The 25,249-nt window shown below is 41.1% G+C and overlaps 1 protein-coding gene and 1 pseudogene across 5 annotated transcripts in view, besides 4 other annotated features; one reads left to right on the top strand and one right to left on the bottom strand.

Annotated features, from left to right (window-relative positions):
* The window catches only part of SEC62 (SEC62 preprotein translocation factor), a 31,567-nt gene extending 29,141 nt beyond the window's left edge, over positions 1-2,426 (bottom strand). For 2 of the 3 annotated variants that reach the window (XM_011513114.4, NM_003262.4), the window contains exon 1: positions 2,375-2,426. Coding sequence is in view for 1 of the 3 variants with exons in the window: in NM_003262.4 (NP_003253.1) it covers positions 2,375-2,410 (36 nt within the window). In the remaining 2 variants the exon portion in view is untranslated. Of the gene's footprint in view, positions 1-641 lie in introns of all 3 variants that reach the window. The other variant, XM_047448819.1, reaches the window with a different exon arrangement.
* Positions 219-751: an enhancer, noted in NCBI's record as "NANOG hESC enhancer chr3:169686270-169686802 (GRCh37/hg19 assembly coordinates)". NCBI's record gives its function as "activates a minimal SCP1, AML or CMV promoter by ChIP-STARR-seq in primed H9 embryonic stem cells {active_cell/tissue: H9 hESC(primed)}" and the evidence as "EXISTENCE:reporter gene assay evidence [ECO:0000049][PMID:30033119]".
* Positions 2,308-2,747: an enhancer, noted in NCBI's record as "active region_20791". NCBI's record gives its function as "activates an Ori minimal core promoter by ATAC-STARR-seq in GM12878 lymphoblastoid cells {active_cell/tissue: GM12878}" and the evidence as "EXISTENCE:reporter gene assay evidence [ECO:0000049][PMID:35858748]".
* Positions 2,499-25,249, top strand: FHL1P1 (FHL1 pseudogene 1; annotated as a pseudogene). 2 transcript variants are annotated; one of them, NR_027622.1, is made up of 2 exons: positions 2,499-3,255; positions 19,976-25,249. The product of NR_027622.1 is annotated as an FHL1 pseudogene 1, transcript variant 1 (transcript). The 2 variants fall into 2 exon arrangements; NR_024409.2 differs by lacking the exon at positions 19,976-25,249 and adding an exon at positions 14,026-15,006.
* Positions 14,201-14,480: an enhancer, noted in NCBI's record as "active region_20790". NCBI's record gives its function as "activates an Ori minimal core promoter by ATAC-STARR-seq in GM12878 lymphoblastoid cells {active_cell/tissue: GM12878}" and the evidence as "EXISTENCE:reporter gene assay evidence [ECO:0000049][PMID:35858748]".
* Positions 23,423-23,472: an enhancer, noted in NCBI's record as "active region_20789". NCBI's record gives its function as "activates an Ori minimal core promoter by ATAC-STARR-seq in GM12878 lymphoblastoid cells {active_cell/tissue: GM12878}" and the evidence as "EXISTENCE:reporter gene assay evidence [ECO:0000049][PMID:35858748]".

Raw genomic sequence — 25,249 nt, 5'->3', positions numbered from 1 at the left:
TTTGTTTGTATCAAACATTTCTCCCCAATGTGCAAAGTATAATTAAAGATCACTGAATCTATTAACCATCTTTCTAAACATAAAACATCAAGCAACAAATGACAGAAACTCAGTTGGTATTACAGACCTTTTGCCTAAAAATTCTACAACAGGATCTTTTTTGTAAGTTAAACTCTGAACTTTTCATTACATTTGATCTTTTTATCACAAGTGATGTATTATAGTTTCTGATTATCTGGAATGATAAAACTGAGGTACTTTCTAGGCTAGTATATTTTCATAAGTGTGTTAGGCTGCATGAAAGTAGTACTCTAAGATCTCTCACAAACATTTTATACAGCCATGTAGAAAATTTCAAGGACAGAAAAATAAATGTCACTTAATTTTGCAGTATGCCCAGTAGATTTTAATAATCAATCCTCAAATAATAGAAAGTAAACAGCTATACTCTACATAACTCCCAACCTAATAGTTTACTGAATAGAGGGTTGTTAATCTTTCTTCAGCATATCAAAGAGTAGTTAACAAAAAATAAAATAACAATCCAATCTAAATCCTTCATCCTGGGTAAGGAGTAGAATAGAAGGGAGGGGCTGCGTGCCAAACACTTTTAATAACTTTTAATAAATAAGTTGACTCACCTATTATTTTCACAGCAATCTTAAAGTTTTTCTTTTTTCTTGCTTTTTTTTTTTTTGAGGTAAATATGTTTTCTTACCGATGCAGACAGGGAGGTAAAAATTAACTTGCTCAAAGTTACTCAGCCAATAATTGGTGGAGGTGGGGTACAAACAGGCAGTTTGGCTCAAGTTTTAGCTCTCTGCCACTGTCACATTACTCCACAGCCTCTGTTTAATATAAGATCACAACTAAATAAGAGCAGCTATTCAAAAGGTGAATTATATAGCCCTTACAACAATATTAAAGAGCAACTGGAATTGTAAAACAATGTGTATTGAAGGGCATAAAATTGTACTGTCAAGTGTAAATCTAAGGAGTTCTGTAAGTACAAATCTGACAGACAATTTCAATATACAATCTAATAAAATACTGTATACCCACGTCAGAGGAATAACACTAACTCTTGAAAGATTAAGAACAGTATAATTAGAAACTTCTACTGATCTTAAGACCTAGTCTTATCTGTCTGAACTCGAAATCTGCCTCTTTCTAATTCCCTTCTGCACCCTGTTCGGAACTACTTTATTTCTGCCAAATTCCAAAATTCCAAATTTACTGATCATGTGTGTCTTTTTCACAGCACTTAAAAAGTTTACAGAAGAATTTTAACTTGCATAGCTCAAAACATCTGTATTGTACGCCAATAAATCGATAAACTTAAAAAAAAAAAGAAGGGATAAAATGGAAGAAAGAAAAAATCATTCTAAGCAATGAAATAGTAAGGAACAGAAAGGCAATGATGAATGTAACAATTTATGATTATAGTAACAATTTACTACATGTGATCAATTTGAGGGCTTATGAAGGTTTCTCAGCACATCAGCTGATGAGACGACTAATAAATATCCTGAGTCCAAGATGTTCTACATAATTAATCCTCTTGGCAAAGAACAAGAACCAGGGAAAATCGCAAGGAAGAAATGCACAAATGACACGCATGTGGAATTAGGGGGAGATGTTATGTACGTTACTACGAGGATGACACACTGGCATGTGAAAGGTTTCTGGGCTCCACCAGCTCGTTGCAGCACCAACGAGGTTGTGGTTGTTTACACCACGTCGCCCGGAAAAAAGCCGGCAAGCTTCAAGTGGACTATTAAGTTAATAATATTGAAGGGAAAGAAGGGCAACGCAACTGAACATCTGGATGAGCAGATCCCTGCCTAGGCCCCGAGGCAGCTGACCAAGTCCAGATCATTCCCCCTTACGGTCTATGCGCACAAAGAACCAGCTGCTTTAGGTCAGTCCGCCGCCTCCTGCTACCCCTATTACCGTGGCCTTAATTTCAGGCCAGCTAAGGCCAGAGGATGGGGTGAAGGGAGGGGAGGAGCCCCGGGAAGGGTCAGCGTCTGCGCCCCAGGGGAGGCTGACCTTCCAGCTCAGGCCCGGGACAGCGCGACCACAGGAACTCCAGGCCCACAGCCGCGCCTCCGCAGCCGGATTCTGAGCGCGGCGCCTCCTTCCTTCCCCTGCTGCTCCACCACCACCTCCGTCTCTGTCTCCGCCGTCGCCAACACCGCCCCCCCTCAGGCCCCTCACAACGCGCAGCCTGCAGCCAGCTGCCTCGCGGCGGAACCCCACCCCACCCCACCCCACCTCGCCCTTGCTTTCGCTCGCCCTTTTAGGGGGCTTTCCCCGCCCCTTCCACTATCCAGCGCGCCGAAGCCCCCTGCCCAGAGCTCGGCTTTGCTACCTGGATCCGCTTCTTGTGTCTCCTGCGTTCCGCCATGTTGGCCGCTCCGCCCGGTTCCCTCTGACGTGGAGCGAGGAGGGGGCGGTGGAAACCTCGCGAGAACGCGCCCCGAGGCCCGTTATGTAATCCGCCGGCTGGCGCCCCTGGAATGGGGAGGTCGGCCGCCTGGCGGGGCCAGCGGTCCTTAGCGGTGCCTTCTCTCCCCTCTTCCCTCCGCTCCTGCTGTGCGGGAACTGGAGAATCGTTAGGACGTGGAGGAAGCAGAGAAGTGGATCAGAGAACAGGAGGGCTGGGAAGAGTCCTGGTTTCTCAATCCTGACTGAGCATCTGAATCACCTGAGAAGCTACTAAAATGCAGATTCCCCGACCCCATCCCCTTAGAGTCAGAGTCTGTGCATTTAGGGTGCGGCCTTTCTCAGAGGGATCGACTGAGACCTACTGAACCCTAGAAGTCTTTACCTGAGGCAGTTCCTGCAATGTACTGTATATTTCATGACATTCCATGTAAAAGATGACAAGACCGAGACCGTTGAGTGACAGAGATAAGAACTGACTTATCTAAGGCTCCACAGGTGGTAGATGGCAGAGCCGAGACCTGAGCCAATTATCTTTTCTCCTGCACTGTGCGGGGTAATACAGCTCGTTTAAAACAAGCTGGAGTCTCCATTCCGTTTTCCGCGTTGCTTCTCACAACTCACTGTTAGAATCCAGAAGTAAGAGAACCCGGGGAAGCGTAAGGAAGATGAATAGGACAAAGATTCTAAGAAGGTGGGAAGGAAGAAGGCTGCAGTCTATTTCAAGTCTGGTGAATTTCAATCACTGTAGCCTTTATTGTTATTTTAGAGCCACCTAGACCAAAAGAGAAGGAGCTCAAATTGCTGGTAAGTGCTTAGATAGAAATTCCCTTGACTGACTTTATAGAGATCTTTAAAGCGTTTTTAATTGTAGAAAATTGGGAAAATTCAGAATAGAAAGATGTTCTTTTTTTTTTGATGCTGAGTTTCGCTCTATATTGCCCAAGCTGGAGTGCAGTGGCGCAGTCTCGGCTCACTGCATCACCGAACTCCTCGTCTCAACTGATCTCCCTCCTCAGCCTCCTGAGTAGCTGGAACTACAGGCATGAGCCACCACACCTGGCTAATTTTTACTTTTTTTGTGTGGAGATGGAGTTTCCTTATGTTGCCCGGGCGGGTCTTGAACTCCTGGGCTCAAAACGATCCACCTGTCTCTGTCTCCTGAGTAACTGGAACTACAGGCGTGAGCCACTGTGACCGTTCAGTTTATTTTCTTATAGTATTCTGACTTTGTGTGTGTGTGTGCATGTGTGTTTGTATTTATATTTTTTCCTGTTTCCCAAATTGAGATCATATGCAATAAGGCAGCTGCTTTTTTCACTTAATGTTAGGTTGTAAGCGTTTATTATACCATTAAAATTTTTTTCCAGGTTTCCCATATTATATATCTAACCTAAGAGCAATTAAATATGTAAGTAAGGCAAATTGCAGCATCTTGATGCCTAATTTTTTAATAAAGTAAGATTGCTGAATTTTTTTTTTTTTTTTGGACTATGCAGTTCTGGTCTCAGGAGTCATTTAATTCCTTTCTCCTCTATAATCTATAATTTGGGTGTGTGTATAGTCAGGGATGGGGTGAGAAAGAAGTAATTATTCTTGCCAATTAACCCAAAACATAATATAGAATATGAAATGTCTTTATTTCCTTCAATCCCTCTACCCACCCAGAATGATGAATCTGTTTTGTGCTGTTTTATGTGGACATAAACACTGGACTATTTTATAGGAGACCTGGTCTATAAATGAAAATATTATTGCATTCAGTAGGTATTGAGTGCCTACTAGATAGATGTCAAATGTTAGGTTAGGACTATGGTGGGGAATAAAAATCCTTTATAGACAATGACTCATCCTCAAGTTACTGCCTTACTATTTTCTTCATCAGCAGAGCTTTAATTTAGTGTCCTCTTGTTCTGTCATTCACTCCTTAGATTACAACAATTTGGTTTCTACCTCCACCATCCAGTAACAATTATTTTGTCAAACCCAATACCTTCTCTCAGCTGGCATCTTACTCAGTATTTGACAATATTGACTGTTCTTCTTGACTTCTTTTCCTTCTTTGGCATGTATATCAACTTCTTTCTGATTTCTCGTTGACTTCTCTCCTTTTACCCAATTCTCACATGTTCCTGGCCACCGTTTTTATATGTTCACCTTCCTCTTGTCTCTTCTATTTGTGCATTCTGTTTACAGATTAATTCCAAAATACTGCATTCATGTTTAATTCCAGATTTCTTCTGGATGTTTCCACTGGATGTCCAACTAAAAATCACCATTTCCCCAGCAAAACCTGCCCCTTTTACTGTAAAAATCTAATAACTACATCGTTGTTCACTCAATTACTCATGCTAGAAACCTTGGATGCATCCCAACCATGCCTTTCTGCCAGTCAGTCACCAATCCTGTTGATTCTACAGCTGAGATATTTGGAATTCTTCCCTCCCTTATCATTCCCATTACCATTGCCTTGTTCAAGTCCTTATCATCACCTACGTGAACTAGTATTGCAATGGCCTTTTAATTGTTCTCCTCACTTCTATGCTCTTTACACTCCAGACCTTCTTCCTTCCATGACTCCCTGTTGTGTGTAGCAGCATGAATGATGGCTAATGTTCACACATATAACCTCAGATTTATGGGTCAAATTTCTGGGTCTCCTTTCCATTTAATATTTATATAAAAATATTTATATAAAAATAGCTCAAATCCTTTTCCCAGCACACCATCTATATTATTGATGGTGGCAGTAAGGAGTTTCCCCTAGCCACTTCTAGTTCCAACTTACTTTTGAATTTCCAATTTTACTCTTATTATTTGACAGTTATTTCTCTCCCAAACGAGGAGTATTTTTTGTTATTGTTGTTGTTGTTGAAGACAGGGTCTTGCTCTGTCGCCTAGGTAGGAGTGCAGTGGTGCGATCTCGGCTCACTGCAACCTCCGCCTCCTGGGCTCAAGGGATTCTCCCACCTCAGCCTCCTGAATAGCTGGGACCACAGGTCGTGCCACCACACCCAACTAAATTTTTTAATTTTTTGTAAAGACAGGTTTCTCCATGTTGCCCAGGCTGGTTTCTAACTCCTGGGCTCAAGCAGTCTGCCTGCCTTAGCTTCTCAAAGTGCTGTGACTACAGGCATGAGCCACTGCACCTGGCCCCTGTTCTTTCTTTTGCCAAAGCAAAACTATTAGTTACAAGAGACTTTACTGGAGATTTTTGAGGAAATGAGTTATATTTATTCATTCATTAAACAAATGTTTATTGAGGGCTTATTATGTGCCAGTCCTTGTTCTAGACACTGAGGATATACTAGTGTTCAAGAGGCAAACATCCTGCTCTTGTGGAGCTTATATTTTGGGAAGAAGAGAACAGACTGTAAAACACAAGAAGGCAAATTATATGGTACAGTCGTCCATCAGTATTGGCTGGGGATTAATTGCAGGACCCCTGTCAAAAATCTGTAACAGTGAATGACAGTGAGTAAATCAGGATTAGTTCTAGATTTTAGATGCTTAAATCTGCAGATGCTTAAGTTCCTCATAAAAAGTGATACAGTATTTGCATATAACCTATGCACATTCTCCCATATACTTTATATCATCTCTAGATTACTTATAGTACCTAGTACAATGTAAATGCTATGTAAATAGTTTTTATACTATGTAACTTTAAAATTTGTATTATTTTTATTGTGGTATTGTTATTTTCTGTTAATTTTCTTTCCCAAGTATTTTCAATTGGTTGAATCAGCAGATGTGGACCCTTGGATAGGGAGGGCCCACTGTATGTTAAAAGCCTTACAATAGAAACAAAGCAGGGTAAAGGGACTGCTTGCAGTGGGAAGGAGGATGTAATTGGAACTTAAATGGTCAGGGCAGTCCTCTTTGAGGAGATCCACTTTGACCAAAAACGGCATGAAGAAGAAGAAGGAGCAAGGCCAGTGGGTGTCCTAGGAAACCATACTTAAGGTAGAGTGAACAGCATTTACAAAAGTTCAGAGGTGGGAGAGTGCAGGTGTGTTTGAGTAATAGTATGGAGGTCAGTGGCTAAAGCAGATTCAATAGAGGAAGAGGAGTAGGTGATAAGATCAGAGGGAAATGGGGCTAGATTGTGTAGGCCATTTAATGACTTTGGCTTTCACTCTGAGTAAAATGAGGGCTTCAGAGGGTGTGCCACGATGGATTAGGGTTAGAAGAATGACATAAAATGGCTTCTGTTTAGAAAGGACCGTGATTGCTGTGTTGTGAATAGACTGTGAGAGGAGATACAGGGATAGAAGTGGGGACATAGGTTATTGCAGCAAACAGGTGAGAGATGATGGTGGCTTAGACTTGGGTGTTTGCTACAGAGGCAGTGGGACATCTTGGATTCTGGTTATATTTTGAAGGTAGAGTCAATGAGATTCTGAATATGAGGGAAAGAGAGGAATCAAGGATAACTTCAAGATTTTTGGTTTGACCAACCAGAAGAATGGAATTGTAACTTACTAAAATGAGAAATATAAGAGTGAAAGAAGTTTGGCATGAAAATATAGAAATTTAGTTTTTGGTGTGTTAATGTGAAGAAGCCTAATGGACATCCAAGAGGAAATATGGATTGCACAGCCACCTATATGAGAAGCAGATTTCAGGGAGAAGTCTTGGCTGGAGGTATAAATTTGGGAGTTGAATGGAATCAGAATATGTTGCCCCCCCAAATATGCCACTTTGGCATAAGGATAATTTTGACCTGAAGGCAAATGAGAAAATCAGACACAGCAAGAGCTCTCTGTCCTTATCTGCCTAAAAGAGCATAAATTCTCACAAAGGTGTCCCCATTCTTCTCCCATACCGAGACAAGGAAAACAACCCTTACCACCAGAAGTGGAGACAGCACCAAGATGAGTCTGCACAAAGAAACCTTACTATAATCCTTATCTACCATTAGTTTCCCCTATATTTTTACCTTCTCACAGTTTACCACCTGTATAAACCCAAACCCCCTTTTCTTTATCTAGTTACTTCTCTTCAATTTATCACCCTTTGTTAAGATGGCATATAAGCCCCGAAGTCTAACCACTTCTTTGATTTTTCACTTCTTTTCCATGAAGCCCTCATGAATGGTAAAAATATTAACATCAAATAAAATTGGTACACTTTTCTTCTGTTAATCTGTCTTTTGTCAGTTTAATGCATAGGCCTCAGGTACAGAACCTAACAGGATAGGGAAATGTTTTTCTTCCCCTACAGAGTTATCAGTGCATAGATGGTATTTAAGTCCAAGAACCTGAGGGATCACTTGCCTCCCACCACCCTCCAGGATGTCTCACAGACTTCTGCTTTTCATCCCACCTCTCTAATCCTTTCTTCTCAATCTTTCTTGCTGGGTTCTCCTCTTCCACTCTTCCTTCCAATGTTAGAATGCTAATGGCTTTCCTATCTCTTTATATGCTTTAATCCATAACATAGAGCCCACAACTTAAATAAGGAGTATTAGGTATTGATATCTAGGAGTTCCCTGGCCATCCCTGTAGGCCCTCCTCATGTCCTTTCCCACTGCTCCTGACTACCTGCCTACTTTTCTTCACTCACTCTAGAATACTTCCCACCCTTCTGAATCTCTTCTCTTTGCCCCTGGGCTCTGTCACTTCTCCCTAGGGTTGTCTCTGAAATTCAGAATTTTCCTTGCTTTATACAGTAGACAAATTGGGCTCTTTACTCTCTATTGGATTCCTTTGGACATGTTTTTGTAAATTAAGAAATTCATTACCATGTTGTGCTAAACAAAGCATTCTCCAATCTAGATCTCTCTCTCTGGAGGACTGATGAATAGGTAGGAACTTGAAAAAATTCAGTTTCCTGGGAACTTCCATCTCAGCAAGTGGAAGGGAATAATATAGAAATGTATTCCTATTGATCAGACTTATGCAAACTGGGAGCTGATAGGTTTAGTTTTTTGTTCTAAATAATACTTTCTCTGGGTCCATTTTATATGTTAAACATATATATGTGACAAAATCAAAGAGAAAATTCTAGGGAACTAGAGCAAATAACAGACCTTTTTTTGATGTCGTTTGTATAAAAGCAGTTTAGAATATGTAGTTAATAATGTTAGTGATTTAATGTTATCACAAAGAAAAAATAAATTTAATATAAAATAGCTCTAATATAAAATGCAATGAATCTAATATTATTTAAGAGGCAAATTAATATTTTAAAATAAGTTGATACTTCTACTCAAGAAATGGCATAAATTTAGCCAGGCATGGTGGCATGTGCCTGTAGTCCCAGCTACAGGGAGGCTGAGGTGGGAGGATTGTTTGACCCCAGGAGTTCGAGGCTGCAGTGAGCTGTGTTTGTGTCGCTGCACTCCAGCCTGGGGGACAAAGCAAAACTTCGTCTCTTAAGAAAAAAAAATGGCATAAATAAGACAGTAAGTATATAGAAAAACAAACACAAATACTGTTTTGAAAAAGTGTAACAAATTTTAACTTGCTAATACTAGACTAAGAATATATAAAAATAATCACTTCATCTTCTTAATTAAAATGGTAATTATTTTGCCATTTTGAACAGAAAAGGTAGCAGTATCATTCTCATTCACATATGGAGTTCTCATGGTTTCCCCTTACATTTGCTTCGTCAAGGTTCAATGCAAAAGGGAAATTAATGTAGTTTTTTAGTTAGAAAGATACTTAATTAGGAGAATTAAATGCTTCCAAAATCATTGAAAGTGTGAAGGACCATGTGCCATGTTGGTCCTGCCTGAATAACTGCCAGACCCTACAGGACTAACCAGCCGGGGGAACCTCTACCTTTGGGGAGCCAGGAGGCCACTGTGACAACACTGTGTTCAGTAGACTACTAGGAGAGCTGTGATCCAATTGCCAGGAAGCCAGGATCAGAAAGTTCTTGCCAGCACTGCTGCTGTTGCCTCCTACTCTCACAAAGATCAAGACTGCATGCTAGAGTGATGCTGTAGAAAAACCATCTCCATGACCTTGCTGGGCAGCAGCAGCAGGAAGATGGCCTCCTTGTCACATTTGTCCTTCTGATATTCTACCAGTGCATCTAATTAGAACTGGAACTCTAGTTGAGGGAGTCTGGGAAATGAAGACTAGCTTTCCATCTTTTGCTGTGTGCCAGTTGACCATATCTAATATCACTGTCTTCTTTCTTAAGGTAACCACTTCACTCCTACCTTTTCACCTTCCTAAAGAACAACTGTGAGACCACTCTTCTCCCGTCACTCCTCTACCTCACCATTTATGCTTCCACACCTACGTGTTTTCTTCTTCTTCTTTTTTTTTTTTTTTCTTCTCCTTCCCACCTGGCCTATCCTTCAAGGGTCAGGTAACATGTTACCCCCACAGTGGAAGCTTCTCTGAATTATTTCTTCAGCAAACTCAATTGACCCTTTTTCTGGGCTCCTACAACATTTTGTAAAAATCACTGCTATAGTACATATAATTGACATCATAAGTTGTTTTTCTTTCTGCCAGACTGTGAACCTTTCAAGGGCAGGTACTATGTTTTAGTTTTCTGTTCTCAATGTCTAGTCCAGGGTCTGGCTCAGAGTAAATAAATTGTTGATGGAGTGAATAATAAATGATGAAAATGGCATAATCTTTGTCCTCTGGAGCTTTAGTAAGTGAGGGAAAGATATTTATGAGGCAGACAAAATTCTACTGAGAGGTCTTCATCATATCCCAAAGACTCTATTTTCTATATAGTCCTCTGTGGAATTTAGAGACAACCAATTTGACAAGAAGCTTCCCTAGATTTGGTTGAGGAAGCCCTTCCCTGTGCAAGAAGAGAGATTCTGGGAATCAGTCATTTGCCCAGTTTCTTGTAAGTGTAGACTTACCTGAGAACAGAGACATGTAAACATCCACTCTCTCAACCTATCTCCAATCCAGCAATTTGAGAGGAAGTATAGGGTTTGGCAAAGCTAAATCTCCAAAATGAAAACCTCTTGGGCAAGTAAAGGCAGCTAAACCTCATAAGTTGTTAGTATACCCAGACTTTGTTTCTTGTGCAAGCCCATCTATTAAGATGGACAGGCATGATGGTTCATGCCTGTAATCCCAGCTACTTGGGAGGTTGAAGTGGGAGGATCTTGGTTGAGCCTAGGAGTTCAAGCTATGATCATGCCAGTGCACTCCAGCCTGGATGATAGAGAGATCCTGTCTTGAAAATAAAAAAAGAAGATGGAAAGGGGAGTGGGATGGCAAAGGTCAAGAAGGAAGACTCAGCACAGAATCCAGGGAAGTTATGAGGGCCAAGGAAACTAAGACTTCCAGACCTGGACCTCACTTGCCGATTGGGAAAAAATCCTCAAACCTATTCCTTCTTACACTGGCCTCAGATGATTTTCTGACAACTCTTGTACTCATGTGCTGTTGTCCAGCTGATGTTTAATAATGTGGATGTCTCTGAAATGAAAAGAACAATAGGCCAGCAAACCTTACAGACTGGATATTTTACCTTTTAGGTAAATATTTAAATAATTTGGCAGAGGTTGTTATAAGTAGTAATTATGGGTCCACCCCTAAATTAAGGCTACTAGTTATTCAATTATTTTTCCTTGAGTATTTATATAAGAAACTACTAAACGATAACACTTTATAATCTTCCGTGTCATGTAAGAAATGTTCCGCTTCCTGTGGCTCCAATTATTCTATCATTTTTTTTTATTCTACATATTGCCTCTAGGTTATACAGTTTTTTTCCTTCCCCTGGTAAATGAAATCACTACATTTAAAGTGGTATATTGCTATATTTTAGGCAAACAGCAAAAAATATAATAGGTTTCTTGCCTAAGCTGTACCTCCTAAGGAAAGGGATTTGGGGGTCTTGATTTTTCATCTGCCAAATGGAAAATCTTCTATCCATTTTCACCCAGTAACTGACAATCTGAAGGTCAGTGTATTTAGTGCTCGATTGTCATAATAAAATAGTCCCCAGCAGAGATGTCTTCAGATTATTGCAAGGGCAAACCAGGATTACTGAAATATTTTCACATACAATTGTTATACTGACCTTCAACTTCTGATAATAAAATAAATGCTGAAATTTTAGAGAGTGCTTTTAAGAAATGCCTGAATAAGCCAACATTTGACTAATCAAAGGATAAGTTTACTTGTCCAGTTTTAAATTCAAGCATGAATATAATTTTTGTAATTAATATGTATCTTTACACTCTCTACAAACCAATATTGTAATAAGTGAATTTTGCTGTCTTAGTTTTTAAAATTTATTTTTATTATTCCCAACTTGTCCTTTTGAAATGCTTTTAGACTTATTGAGAAAGTTGCAAAAACTAATATGAAGAATTTTCACATACTTTTTACCTAGCTTCTACAAATATTATATTATGTAACTATAGTACCATTTTTGAAACAGGAAATGAACTTAGTATTACTAAGTAATCTACAGACCTTATTCAGATTTTGTCAGTTGTCCCATTAGTGGACTTTTTCTGTTCAGGATCCAGTCCAAGCTCACCAGTTGCATTTAGTTTTCATGGTTCCTTGGTCTCCTTTAATCTGGGACAGTTCCTCAGTTTTTCTCTTTCATAACTTTGACTCTTTGAAGAGTACTGGCCAATTATTTTGCAGAATGTTCTTCAATTTATGTTTGTCTGTTATTTCCCAATGATTTAATTCAGGTTATACGTTTTGTCAAGAATATCATAGAAGTGACATTGTACCCTTCTCAGTGTGTCTTGTCAGGAGGAAAGTAGTTGATGTGTCTTGTCATTGGTAATGAGGCACTTTGATCACTTAGTTAAGATGGGATCTGGCAGGTTTCACTGCTGTAAAGTTACTGTTCTTTCCTTTGAAATTAATATGCATCTTATGAGGGGATACTTTGAAACTATGTAAGTATTCTGTTTTTCATCATACTTTTGTCTATTAATTTTAGTATCCATTAATTATCTCTGCCTGACATATTTATTACTGTGGTGTTTACCAAATTGTGATTTTCTATTTCTGTCATTCCTTCTACATTTATTGTGATACTACTGTAGGGAAGAGTTTATTTACTCATTTACTTATTATCAATTTGACCTGATCCTCTAGAGAGTATCAGTTAGATGCGATTTGTGAGTGAGAGTCAACATGGTGACCTTTGTACATCCATCTACCATGGTTCTGTTGGCATCCACCGATTTATGCCAGGGGTGCACAGCTTTCCAAGAAAAAGACTTGAAACTCTGTGAAAGCATATAAAACATGGTCTGATGGACTAGTGTGGTCCTCATGAGGGCACGAGTTTTGGAAAGAACAGTGTGGGACATAAGAGGAAGGAGCACCCTGTAAGAGAAGAAGGAGCCCAGCCTGGAAAGTTAGACCCAGAAATAGAGCATGGGCTTCAGATGGGGTGGAGATTTTAGATTATTGCTGTAGAATTTACCTCAACACAGACTTCTAGCAGTAGGTATGATCCTTGGCAAAAGTTGTTTAGCGTATTAATTAAAGGAACTGTGAGAGTAAATGGTCTAATACATTAGATCCACACAACCTTACTGTGGGACCCTGTACTGCTGCACCTGAGTGTCACCCAGATGGGGTATTGTCCTTTTCACTTTGTAAGGTCAACTGTTTGGATCTGTAGTCTCAAGGACATTTCAGTTCCAGCTTTACCAGCACAGCTGCAGGACTGTAGCTCATTGACACTAGATGTAGCTCTAGGCATTGTTGAGTTTCCACTCCACCAGGACCCAGGGATAGCCATGGGCTCAGGAGTTGTTTCAGTTCTGAGTGATGCTTCTATGGAACCACCTGCCACAGAGGATGTGTTCAGCTCACCAGAATGGGAAATAATGACAATGACGGGCTCATAGGCACATGTAATATCCCTGAAGTCTATAGCAAATTTATAGAAATAGGGACACTATTAAACATTGGATCTCTCAGAAAAAGGCCCTTGCCAGATGACAGCCCTTTGGCCTTGGACTTCCCAGCCCCCAGAACTGTGAGCCAATAAATTTCTGTTCATTATAATAATAATAAAAAACTGGATCTCTTACATGCAGTTGAGCAAGTAGGAGGGGGGGTACTATTGAGGCTTAGGCATTAATATTATGTTAAACAATTTTAAATTGGGAGACCATTAGGCTGGAGTGACTTCGAGCAGGTTAAGTTCCTACATAAGTAAACTGAAGCCCAGTATGAGTGTGAGTCACTCATATTGCTGGAAGAGTGTAAATGGGTGCAACCTCCAGACAATGCAATTTTGCAGCATCTGTGAAAATTTTAATTACATAAGCACCTTGGCCCAGAATTCCACTTGCAAGAATGTGTCCTACAGATATGCCTGTACCGATATGAAATTGTATATGCCATACATAATAAAAAGTTTGGAAAGAGCCTGAAAAAGTCTATCAGCTGGCTAAATGAGACTGGTTAAATAAATCATGATAGTCATACATGATGAGATGTCATACAACATTTTAAAACAGTGAGGAAGCTCTTTAAGTACTGTTGTGAAATAATCTCTAGGTATTTTAGGTGAAAAATTTCCAATGTAGTATGTTAACATTTGCAATAAAAAAAGAGGTTAAAAAGAATATATGTACATTTTTGCTTGTTGCAGGAGGGGATTTAGTGGCAGGAGGACAAAGTCAGAAGAGAAATTTTTCACAGTATATCTTCTTGAGCCATGTGACCATATGCTCTAATTTTTTTAACTATAAAATTTAAATTAAAAAAACCACAAAAATTCGACGCAAGAGCAGCAGCCACAGTGGCTGAAGATGAGAGGACTCCTGTGCCAGCCAAGGTGGAAGCAGAAATTACTCCCCAGTCTCCACTGACTACAGGAACAGGAGGGCCACACACCCATTTGGTGGCCATAACATTGAAAGCTGGGACAGCAGGACTGGTCTGGACCTGAGGCGTAAAAGACAACACTTGCAGCCAGCCCTGGTACTTGCATAGTGGCAAAATGTCCCAAGCTGGAGGAAATGGATAAGAATTGGGTACACATCACCCGTACTGGGAATAAACAAATGTGTTCTGATTATTTGGAAAAAGCAGACATTCTAGGGGTAGGGAGTTCTAAAGCCTTGGTGCACTTGAATGGATAAACTTCCCAGGAGCAGAGTTTTCCAAGCATGGCTCCCTGTGGTTCACCTCTACCAAGCTTAACCTACCTTCTGCTTAGGCAGAGCGAAGAGGCACCTCAGCATAACTCAGATCAAAATGGAAGCATCTCATTTCTTAAAAGCTGTCAAAGAATTGGTGTGAGGTTTAAAAACGTCTCTGAGCTTGATGGAAGGAAGGTAGGCGGTGATAGTTCATGCTCCCTTTCCTCCAGACACTTCTCATTTTCCTTTCTTAACCTGCTTTGATATTATGATTTCTTTTGCTTCATTTGTTAAGTTCTCTTACAACACTTCTTGTTCACAAGTGAGTGAAGAGCTGTTCTCTGCTTGTAACGTTGGAAATGGGGGAGTGTTTCAGAAATGACACAACAAAGCATTAAGCCATGAAACAAGAAGGGGAACTTCAGACAGAATTACAACAGTCATTTGAGAATCTCACTGAGAGCTAATAAAAGCCACACACACACAGAGGAGTGTTTTCCAGTTATTTTTTTGTCGTACTTTGTTGAGTTTCCTGCTTTCGGTTTTCCTAACTTAGCCACAGAAAGTGTAGGCATGAAAAACATATTGGCTGGATTACCTATAAGACTTCGCTTTTTAGAAAACAAGCAAACAAACTCAGATTTTGTCATACTAGCACCTAAGGCATAGTTCTTGCTTTTTTTCATTCTTACACACACACTCACACACACCACAAACACACACATACACATACACGCACACACGTATGTTTGTGTTTGGATAGATAGAGATATATGTCATAGACCATTAACTGCTAGGGATCTTATAGGTCATAAGTTGATGTCTTCATCTCACAGATTAGAAAATGGAGGATTAAACAAGTAAAATGAGTAGAATGACCCAGTTGAAATTTAAATCTAGATCTGGTAGCTCCAAGTGAAGGGCTCCTTCACTTGTGAAGCCCTGCCAATGGGCTTGTAAAGTCCCTCTCCTTTTAAGGAGCATTCCCTTGAACTTAGTACAGTATTGTGGTTTCTTGATGGTTCAGATAAGTCCTTGACATGGTATTCCTTTGGCAGGCACATGGGAACAGAATGGTGTAGCAGTTGCTATATTATCTTTAGCAGCATGTGACAAAAGAGCTGGTTTGGACATTCAAGCATTGATCTTTTTCCTAAATATCATTTACTCATGCAAGTAGAACCTGTGTTAGGTTCTGAGATGCAAAGATACTTAAAAGAATATTTACAGTAAGATCCCAGAGGGGGAGAGAGAGGAATGATTGAGCATTGGATATACACCAAAATACTTACCACAGTGGAATTAAAGGCTACTCTTTCCCATCTCCTTTTTTTTGTTGTTGTTAATCTTAAATGTCTACATTCTGTATAATGAACATTCATTGCTTTTAGAATTTAAAAACTTCGCCGGGCGCGGTGGCTCACGCCTGTAATCCCAGCACTTTGGGAGGCCGAGGTGGGCGGATCTTGAGGTCAGGAGATCGAAACCATCCTGGCTAACACGGTGAAACGCCATCTCTACAAAAAATACAAAAAATTAGCCAGGCGTGGTGGCGGGCGTCTGTAGTCCCAGCTACTCGGGAGGCTGAGGCAGGAGGAGAATGGCGTGAACCCGGGAGGTGGAGCTTGCAGTGAGCCGAGATCGCGCCACTGCACTCCAGCCTGGGCGACAGAGCGAGACTATGTTTCAAAAAAAAGAATTAAAAAAACTTATTTTTAATTTAAAAAATTGACGAAGACATGTTATGATTTAAATGTATTTGTCCCTTCAAAATTCGTATGTTGAAACTTAACCTCCAAGAGGATGGTATTTAAAGGTGGGACCTTTGGGAGATGATTAGATCCTTGGGAGGCCTGAAACCAGATGTCTGTATTTTTTGGTTACATCATTCAATAAATTCCACTTATGATTTAGGCCAGTTTGAATTGGGTTTTGTAATAGTGTGTCAAGATCCTGGCAGTACACAAATGGCACACTGAAATAACGTAACTGAGGAGATAGTGAAGGACCACACACACAGATGTAGGGATTAAGAGAAACCAATGAGAACTATCAATATCAGGGAGCCTTCTCATCCTTAGGCCTGAAAGGACAAAGGGAAAAACTGGTTTCCCAGAATCTACAACTTGGGAAGAGATGTAGCTGTAGCTTCAGGAGAGGGTTACTTGACAGGAGCTGTGGCCTCCATGAGGAAAGCAGCCCGGGAAAGCAGGAAGGGGACCAAGAAATCAACACTCCCTCTCCTGTTTCCTTGCACTCCTCAGACTCCTCTTGGTGGTTCCATTGGCTGACCTTGAGTGGAAGTTAGAGGGAAGGGAGCCATTTGAACAGTCTATTGAAGTCAGCCTCTTGGGCACTGAGCATGATGGAGAGGGTGAAGAGAGGATCTGGAGGGGCCATGGAGAACATTCATCATCCTGTGATACTAATAGACTCATGCATTGCTTAACAACAGGGATGTTGAGAAATGCCTTCTTGGGTGACTTCGTCATTATGTGCACACCATAGTATACTTACACAAACCTAGATGGTGTGGTCTACTACACACTTAGGCTGTGTGCTACAGCCTGTTGCTCCTAGGTCATAAACCTGTATAATATGTTACTGAACTAAATATTGTAGGCAGTTGTAACAGCAGTATTTGTGTATCTAAACACAGAAAAGGGACAGTAAAAGTACAGTATTATAGTTTTATGAGACTAACGTCTCATGCAGTCTGTCATTGACCAAAATATCATTAAGTGGTACGTGACCGTTTTTTGCAAAGTACCCTGGTATACTAAAAAACAGTTGATAAAGAATGACTGTAATGATCATTACAACAGAGTGATTACCTTAAATTATTAGATCACTCAATCCCACTTGTTGAGCATTCATTGTTTTGAGCACTTTGAAATAGTGCAAGGAATTTAGAAGTTATAGTTGCTCATCTCAAGGGGATAACAACCAAAAAGGGTATAATGAGATATTATAAATGAAAAACAACACTTTGGGAGGCCGAGGCGGGTGGATCATGAGGTCAGGAGATCGAGACCTTCCTGGCTAACAAGGTGAAACCCCGTCTCTACTAAAAATACAAAAAAATTAGCCGGGCGCGGTGGCGGGCGCCTGTAGTCCCAGCTACTCGGGAGGCTGAGGCAGGAGAATGGCGTGAACCCGGGAAGCGGAGCTTGCAGTGAGCCGAGATTGCGCCACTGCAGTCCGCAGTCCGGCCTGGGCGACAGAGCGAGACTCCGTCTCAAAAAAAAAAAAAAAAAAAAAAAAAGAAAAACAAGATTACGCAGCTAAAAAGATTTTAAAGATTCAGGCTTCAGGGGTGGACCAATCCATGTATTCAGCTCTCTTGGCCACAGTTATTGGGCACAAGAGTCAAAGGAGTCAATGAGACAGAGTGACTCCCAGGACTTTGAATCTATTAGAAGAGACATGTTCTTCCTTTCTACTGTGTGACTTGAGAATGTTAGGTCTGGACTGCACTGGGCATTTTACCATCCTGAGAGAAGGACCTCAAGCTGCTTGGAAGCTACTTCTATAGAACCTGAAGATGAAGTCAAAGGAAGGCAGCACAAAGAGAAAACTGGATCCTTGGTGACAGCATTTGAATCACTAGATTAACTCTTGCCTGAAGCCAGACATCTAGACTTTTTAATTACTAGGTCCAATATGTTTCCTTTATGATTTAAGTCAGTTTGAATTGGATTTTGTCATTTGCATTCTAGAACATCCTAATTAATACACCATCCAAAGAAACAAAGATAACTAAAACAAACTACCGTTTTTAAAGAAAAGATTTTAATGTTCATGGAAAGTGAATTTTCACACAAATTATTGCATTTCATAGCATCCACCCAGATTTAGTCACTTTTTTCATATACTAACAAATGTAGGGTTTTTTTTTTTTTTAAAAAAGCTCTTATTCTTTTTTTCTTAAAAAAATATTTATTTGTGTTTTTTGGGCCGGGCATGGTGGGTCACGCCTGTAATCCCAGCACTCTGGGAGGCCGAGACGGGCAGATCACGAGGTCAGGAGATTGAGACCATCCTGGCTAACACGGTGAAACCCCGTCTCTACTAAAAATACAAAAATTAGCCAGGCGTGTTGGCGGGCGCTTGTAGTCCCAGCTACTTGGGAGGCTGAGGCAGGAGAATGGCATGAACCCAGGAGGCAGAGCTTGCAGTGAGCCGAGATCGCACTACTGCACTCCAGCCTGGGGGGACAGAGCGGGACTCCCTCTCAAAAAAAAAAAAAAAAAAAAGAAAAAAATTTATTTGCGTTTTTTCCCTAGACTGCTAAGCAGAAAAAAGCTCTTATTCTTATCCATTATCCTAATTCTTAAAAACAAAGTCCTAATTTATGATTTCAGTATTTCAGTGACAGTAATCATAAGAAGTAACCTGATTAGACCATTCACTTTGCAAAATTCTCTGTAAGGGAAGCAGTACTTAGAATACCTAATGTGGATGTTGTTTGCCTGAAGAGTTGGTGGGTATAAATAAAGGCTGGTAAATAATGATTTTTTTAAATGCCTCTGGTATGAGAACAGTCATAAATCCTGGAATTAAGACATTTTCCCCATGACTTACACTCCCAGGACTAAAAATGTTGCCTTTTAGTCCTATTTAGAATTGTCTTTTGGATTTGCTGATAAACCCTCTCATGTCTGTATGACTTATACAATCAGATGTTGGCTGATGCATTCAGATCCCTGTGCTGTGAATATTTATTTATTTGCTTTCTCAATTAAATGAGTGGTTTTGGTGACAAACCACTGGTGTTAACACAAACAGCTAAGCTGATCATTTAGGAAAAGCTCAATATTAAAGGATTCTAAGTCCATTGTTAGGCTATGACAGTAACTCCAATCTCATTAACAATTAACCACTCGATCACCACCTAATTCATAAGAAAAAACTACCATGAATAAAAGTTCTTGACTGGGTGCAGTGGGCTCATGCCTATAATCCCAGAACTTTGGGAGGCCAAGGCGAGAGGATTACTTGAGCCCAGGGTTTTGAGACCAGCCTGGGTAACATGGGGAAACCCCTTCTCCACAAAAAAATGAAAAAATTAGCTGGGCCATGGTGGTGCATACCTGTGGTCCCAGCTACTTTTGAGGCTGAGGTGGGAGGTGGGAGGATTTCTTGAGCCTGGGAGGTGGAGCTTGCAGTGAGCGCCACTGCACTCCAGCCTGGGTGACAGAGTGAGACTCTGTGTAAAAAAAAACAAAAAACCACACACACACAAAACAAAAAAACACACACACACTTTCCTTCTGCTGTTTGGAAGGAAGCTATTTCTATTTATTCAGTGTTTGGGGACCTAAATATGTGTCTGAAAAGAAAATGTTGCTGTACTACAGGATGGTGATTGAAGTCCTGAAAATATCAGGAAACTGTTCTCATTTATTATTTGTCAAATAGCGCTTTCTGTAAACACTTGTAATCTCTGTTTTACAGGTGAAAGAAGACTGCAGCTGAGTTCTATTATCAAAGCAAAGTGCTGTACTGTACTTGAAATAACTCTAGCAAATACTGTGCTTCCTGCACAGAACCTGTTGGATTACTCACACAAATGTCAAAGAACAGGTTGACATTTTAGCAAGTTATCAGCCTGGCCCATATAAAAAAAGACATTTCTAGTTTTTACACTTTGCAGGGTTCAGAGAGCAGTTGAATGTTATTTTTAGTCTATGATCCAAAGCAGCTAATGACAGAGTCTACCTTAGAAGATAAACAGGCTTCTGATTTATAACACAAGGCTAATGGTAGATATTGTGTGATGTGTCCAGTTAAATTAACGAAATAGCTTTGCAACAGTGTGGAGTAAAGACTTAGGCTTAAAACAGAGAATTTGAGGATTGAGATAAGTCCAGAGAAGCAGCAGGATGGAGTGCAGATGCAAGAGAAAGGCTATGTCAATGCCATATTATAAATATAGCTCATAGACAGCATATCCTAGTGTGTGTCTGAAGAGGCCTGTGCCCTTGAGGAAAGGGGAGATTATGACCTTGTCCCCCAGTGTCATTTGCATAAATTCTTAGAGACCTTGGGGCAGTGAGTAGGAGACTGGTTGAGATGATTACTATAGGAAAATTGAATAACTTAAAGTATGGATATCTTACTGTTACAGGAAATGCTTAGGAGGTGAGGTACTCTGAATTTAGAATATGATGGCCTAAGGGATTCGGAGTCAAGAAGCAGGACATGGGATGAAGATACATCCACTGTCAAGCTGGTCATTACGACAGGGAGAAATAGCCCTCCACAGAGTGAGACTAGTGAGACTTGCAAGAATTGAATGATGGTCCCGTTGGACGAAACTCTTTAGGGTGAGTTTGCTTGTCTGGGAAAGACAGAACTCAGAGCCCTAATTGAGATGAACTGCAAGATGGGTTCAGCAGGAGAAAGTGGCTGGAAAGGGGGAGGGACCAGGAGCCAAATGGGTGACTATCTGCCAGGTGGTCTCCTGAGGGCACGCATCTTCCCTGGTGGTGTGACTAGAAAGAGGGAGTCCAAAGCACAGTCCCTTCTCCTCCACTTGGCACACATCAACACTTTCCTCTTTTCCTGTGAGCCAAGGTAGAAGGTCTGGTCCAGAATGGACGATATGGGTGGAGGGGTGAGTCAGTATTGTTTTTCATGTTGGTGGTTGGACTCAGTTTAAAAGATGGATGTCTTAGGGTAGTAGGTAGCATAGTTTTCCTAGCTTTGTTGTCACAGGTGATAGAAGCTGGACCATAAGTTAGGGTCACAGCTCCCTTGATTCTCCTTCTTCTTTGTTCTCCTTCCTCTTTCACAACTCTCTCTCCTAGGTACTTTTAGTCAGGCTGCAGATGGAATTCTGGGCGTTTGCTCCAGAGAGAATTTTCCTAGGTAGCTTTTGCGTTAAACAGACTTCATTATACATTTTGCTTTGCATGGGGCCTCTCTCTCCTGACACAGATACATGGGCCCCTTGTAGCCCACAGCCCCCAGTGTCACACATTAGTGGCACAGGCTTGGTTTTGACATTGGTTCAAGGTACCCAGTGAAGAGCACTTTCTGTAAGAACAGTTCAATGGCAGGACCCATAATGGTTATGAGCACGGAGGCCTCCAGTGCAGGAGCATCCGCAGTGGTTGCTGATCCCCAGAAGGGAGACGTACTCTCTTTCTTTTTGTGTTTCCAAAGGCAAAGGCATACTCTTAGGAGGCAGACAGAAAGATGTACAGTTAAGAAGTGGGGTTTTTAGGTTCTGTTAACAGCTGGTTTATTACCTTTTTTGGAACTTTCTCACCCTTTCTGCAGTGAAATAGGCTATTTCTCTATGTAGGAGTACACCTGTGGGGAAAAAAATGTGTGGAAACCTAGCTATTCCCCAAAAAGGAGCACAAAAAGAAGGACATCTGAGATTGCTGAATACTTTTCAGATGACAAAGAACTTAGAATGTTGAGAGGGGACTTACAGGGAATGGGCTGATAAAAGACTTGAGTGTCATCTAGTATTTACCCCTTTCTCCTCCAACTTGAGTTAGCTAAATACACACACACACACACACACACACACACACACACACACGAATATACCTGCTTATAATAAACGCTCTAATCAACAAATCTACTGGATCATAAGCTCTGCCAAGGTAGCGCCTGTGGTGTTCCCTTTTTATCCTTAGCCTGTAGCACCAGGCCTGGCACATAGATTCTTGGTAAATATCTACTGAGTGAATGAATTGTTGAACAGCTCGTAATGAAGAACTGATTCTGAGAATCTGTGGAATACTTCAAAAGAGAATGAATACAATGCATATATTAAAAGAGGAGGCAGTCTGCAGCCACTGCCACCTCCGCCACCGCCAGCTGTGCGGGTGAGCATCCCCAGGCAGCACGTTGGAAGTTGTTTTCAACCATATCCAGCCCTTGCCAAATACATCCTGTTTGTCACACATCCAAAGTGAGGTCCCTCCAGCTATAAGGTGGGCACCATGGCAGAGAAGTTTTTGACTGTCTCTACTGCAGGGACCCCTTGCAGAGGAAAAAGTATGTGCAGAAGGGTGACCACCACTGCTGCCTGAAATGCTTTGACAGGTTCTGTGCCAACACCTGCGTGGAATGCTGCAAGCCCATCCATGTGGACTCCAAGGAGGTGCACTATAAAAACTGCTCCTGGCATGACCCCTGCTTCCACTGTGCCAAGTGCCTTCACCCCTTGCCAATGAGACCTTTGTGGCCAAGGACAACAAGATCCTGTGCAACAAGTTTGCCACTCAGGAGGACTCTCCCAAGTGTAAGGGGTGCTTCAAGGCCTTTGTGGCAGGAGATCAAAAATGGAGTACAAGGGGACCATCTCGCACAAAGACCGCTTCACCTGTAGCAACTGCAAGCAAGTCATGGGGACTGGAAGCTTCTTCTCTAAAGGGAAGGACTTCTACTGTGTGACTTGCCATGAGACCAAGTTTGCTAAGCATTGTGTGAAGTGCAACAAGGCCATCGCATCTTGGGGAGTCACTTACTAGGATGAGCCCTGGCATGCCGAGGGCTTTGTATGTGTTACCTGCTCTAAGAAGCTGGCTGTGCAGCATTTCACCACTGTGGAGGACCAGTAATACTGTGTGGATTGCTACAAGAACTTTGTGGCCAAGAAGTGTGCTGGATGCAAGCACCCCATCACTGGGTTTGGTAAAGGCTCCAGTGTGGTGGCCTATGAAGGACAATCCTGGCACGACTGCTGCTTCCACTGCAAAAAATGCTCTGTGAATCTGGCCAACAAGCACTTTGTTTTCCACGAGGAGCAAGTATATTGCCCTGACTGTGCCAAAAAGTTGTAAACTGACAGGGGCTCCTGCCCTGTAAAATGGAATTTGAATTTTGCTCTTTGTGTCCTTACTCTCTGCCCTATACCATCAATGGGGAAGAGTGGTCTTTCCCCTCTTTAAAGGTCTCCTGTCTTTTCTCCCGTTTTACAGTATTACTCAAATAAGGGCACACAGTGATCATATTAGGATTTAGCAAAAAGCAACCCTGCAGCAAAGTGAATTTCTGTCCAGCTGCAACTGAAAAACGAAAATTTAAGTAGATTGACTCTTCTGCATGTTTCTCACAGAGCAGAAAAGTGCTAGTCATTTAGCCACTTAGTGATGTAAGCAAGAAGCATATGAGATAAAGCCCCCACTGAGATGCCTCTTGCGGCTCAGCTGGGACCTACCGTGTAGTCACGCGACATGCAAGAGTTGTAGTGGCTGCTTCAACTCGCTGCTCACCCTCTTCTGTGAGCAGGAAAAGAACTTACTGACGTGCATGATTTAACTTCCTCATCAAAACTCTGACCTTCCTTCTGTTATTTTGTGCTTTCAAATGACTAATATGCACTTCCAGAAAATTAACATTTGAACTTAGCTGTAATTCTAAACTGACCTTTCCCCATACTAATGTTTGATTTCCCCATGTGGCATGTTTTCTGAGTGTTCCTACCTTAAAGCATGGAACATGCAGGTGATTTGGGAAGTGTAGGCAGATCTGAGAAAACGAGCCTGTTTCAGAGGAACATTGTCACAGCAAATACTTCTGGAAACTTAACAAAACCAACCCTGATGTCCTTTTTATTGTTTTTAATTAGGAATATTTTTGTTTTAATTGATAGCAAAATAGTTTATAGGTTTGGAAACATCCATGAAAATATTCTATTTATTTTATTTTATTATTATTATTATTTTTTGAGACGGAGCCTTGCTCTGTCGCCCAGGCTGCAGTGCAGTGGCGCATTCTCAGCTCACTGCAACCTTCGCCTCCCAGGTTCAAGCAATACTCCTGTCTCAGCCTCCTGAGTAGCTGGGACTACAGGCATGCGCCACCACACCCAGTTAATTTTTGAATTTTTAGTAGAGATGGGGTTTCAACATATTGGTCAGGCTGGTCTTGAACTCCTGACCTCAGGTGATCCACCCACCTAGGCCTCCCAAAATGTTGGCATTACAGGCGTGAGCCGCCATGCCTGGCCTGCATGAAAATATTCTAGCCCTTTCAGATGTTCCTGTAGTGTTGAAATTCATCCTATGGAAGTAACTGCAAAACTCTATAGGGGGAGTTGAGCAGGTGCCAGGACTGTCATCAACATGGATATGACAGTACAGAGCAGTGGTGAGTTGAATCCCTTGTAACGCAGTTGTCTGCTCTTTGTCCATGTGTTAATGAGGGCTGCAAAGTCCCTCCTATAGCGATTCCTAGGAATTTTCCTCAAGAGGAAATGCGGATTTCCACCTACCACTTACCTGAAATACAGGATCACCTACTTACTGTATTCTACATTATTTTATGATATAATGAGACAATATCAAAAGTAAACATGTAATGACTATGTGTACTAACATTCTTGTAGGAGTGGTTAGAGAAGCTGATGTCTCATTTCTACATTCTGTCATTAGCTGTTATCGTCTAATGTTTCAGTGTATCCTTATGGAAATAAAGCAGCATATGAATTTAAAAAAAGAGGAGGATTAGTCCAGGAACTACAGAATGATTAACTTACTTTTATACTGTAAAAAAGTTAGTATCCCCATGATGTTTCTCCAAAATAGTTTGAAAATAATTAGAAGAATTATAAATTATAGTGTGTCTCTCCTCTCTTACCAAGGACTAAGGGCTAAAGTATCGACATACCTCATTTTACTGTGCTTTGCAGATATGGCATGTTTTACAAATGGAAGGTTTGTGGGAACCCTGAGTTGAGTAAATCTATTGGCGTTGTTTTCCCAA

Source organism: Homo sapiens, chromosome 3, assembly GCF_000001405.40.
Source record: "Homo sapiens chromosome 3, GRCh38.p14 Primary Assembly".
Taxonomy (NCBI): domain Eukaryota; kingdom Metazoa; phylum Chordata; class Mammalia; order Primates; family Hominidae; genus Homo; species Homo sapiens.
This window is presented reverse-complemented; position numbering and strand designations above follow the sequence as displayed.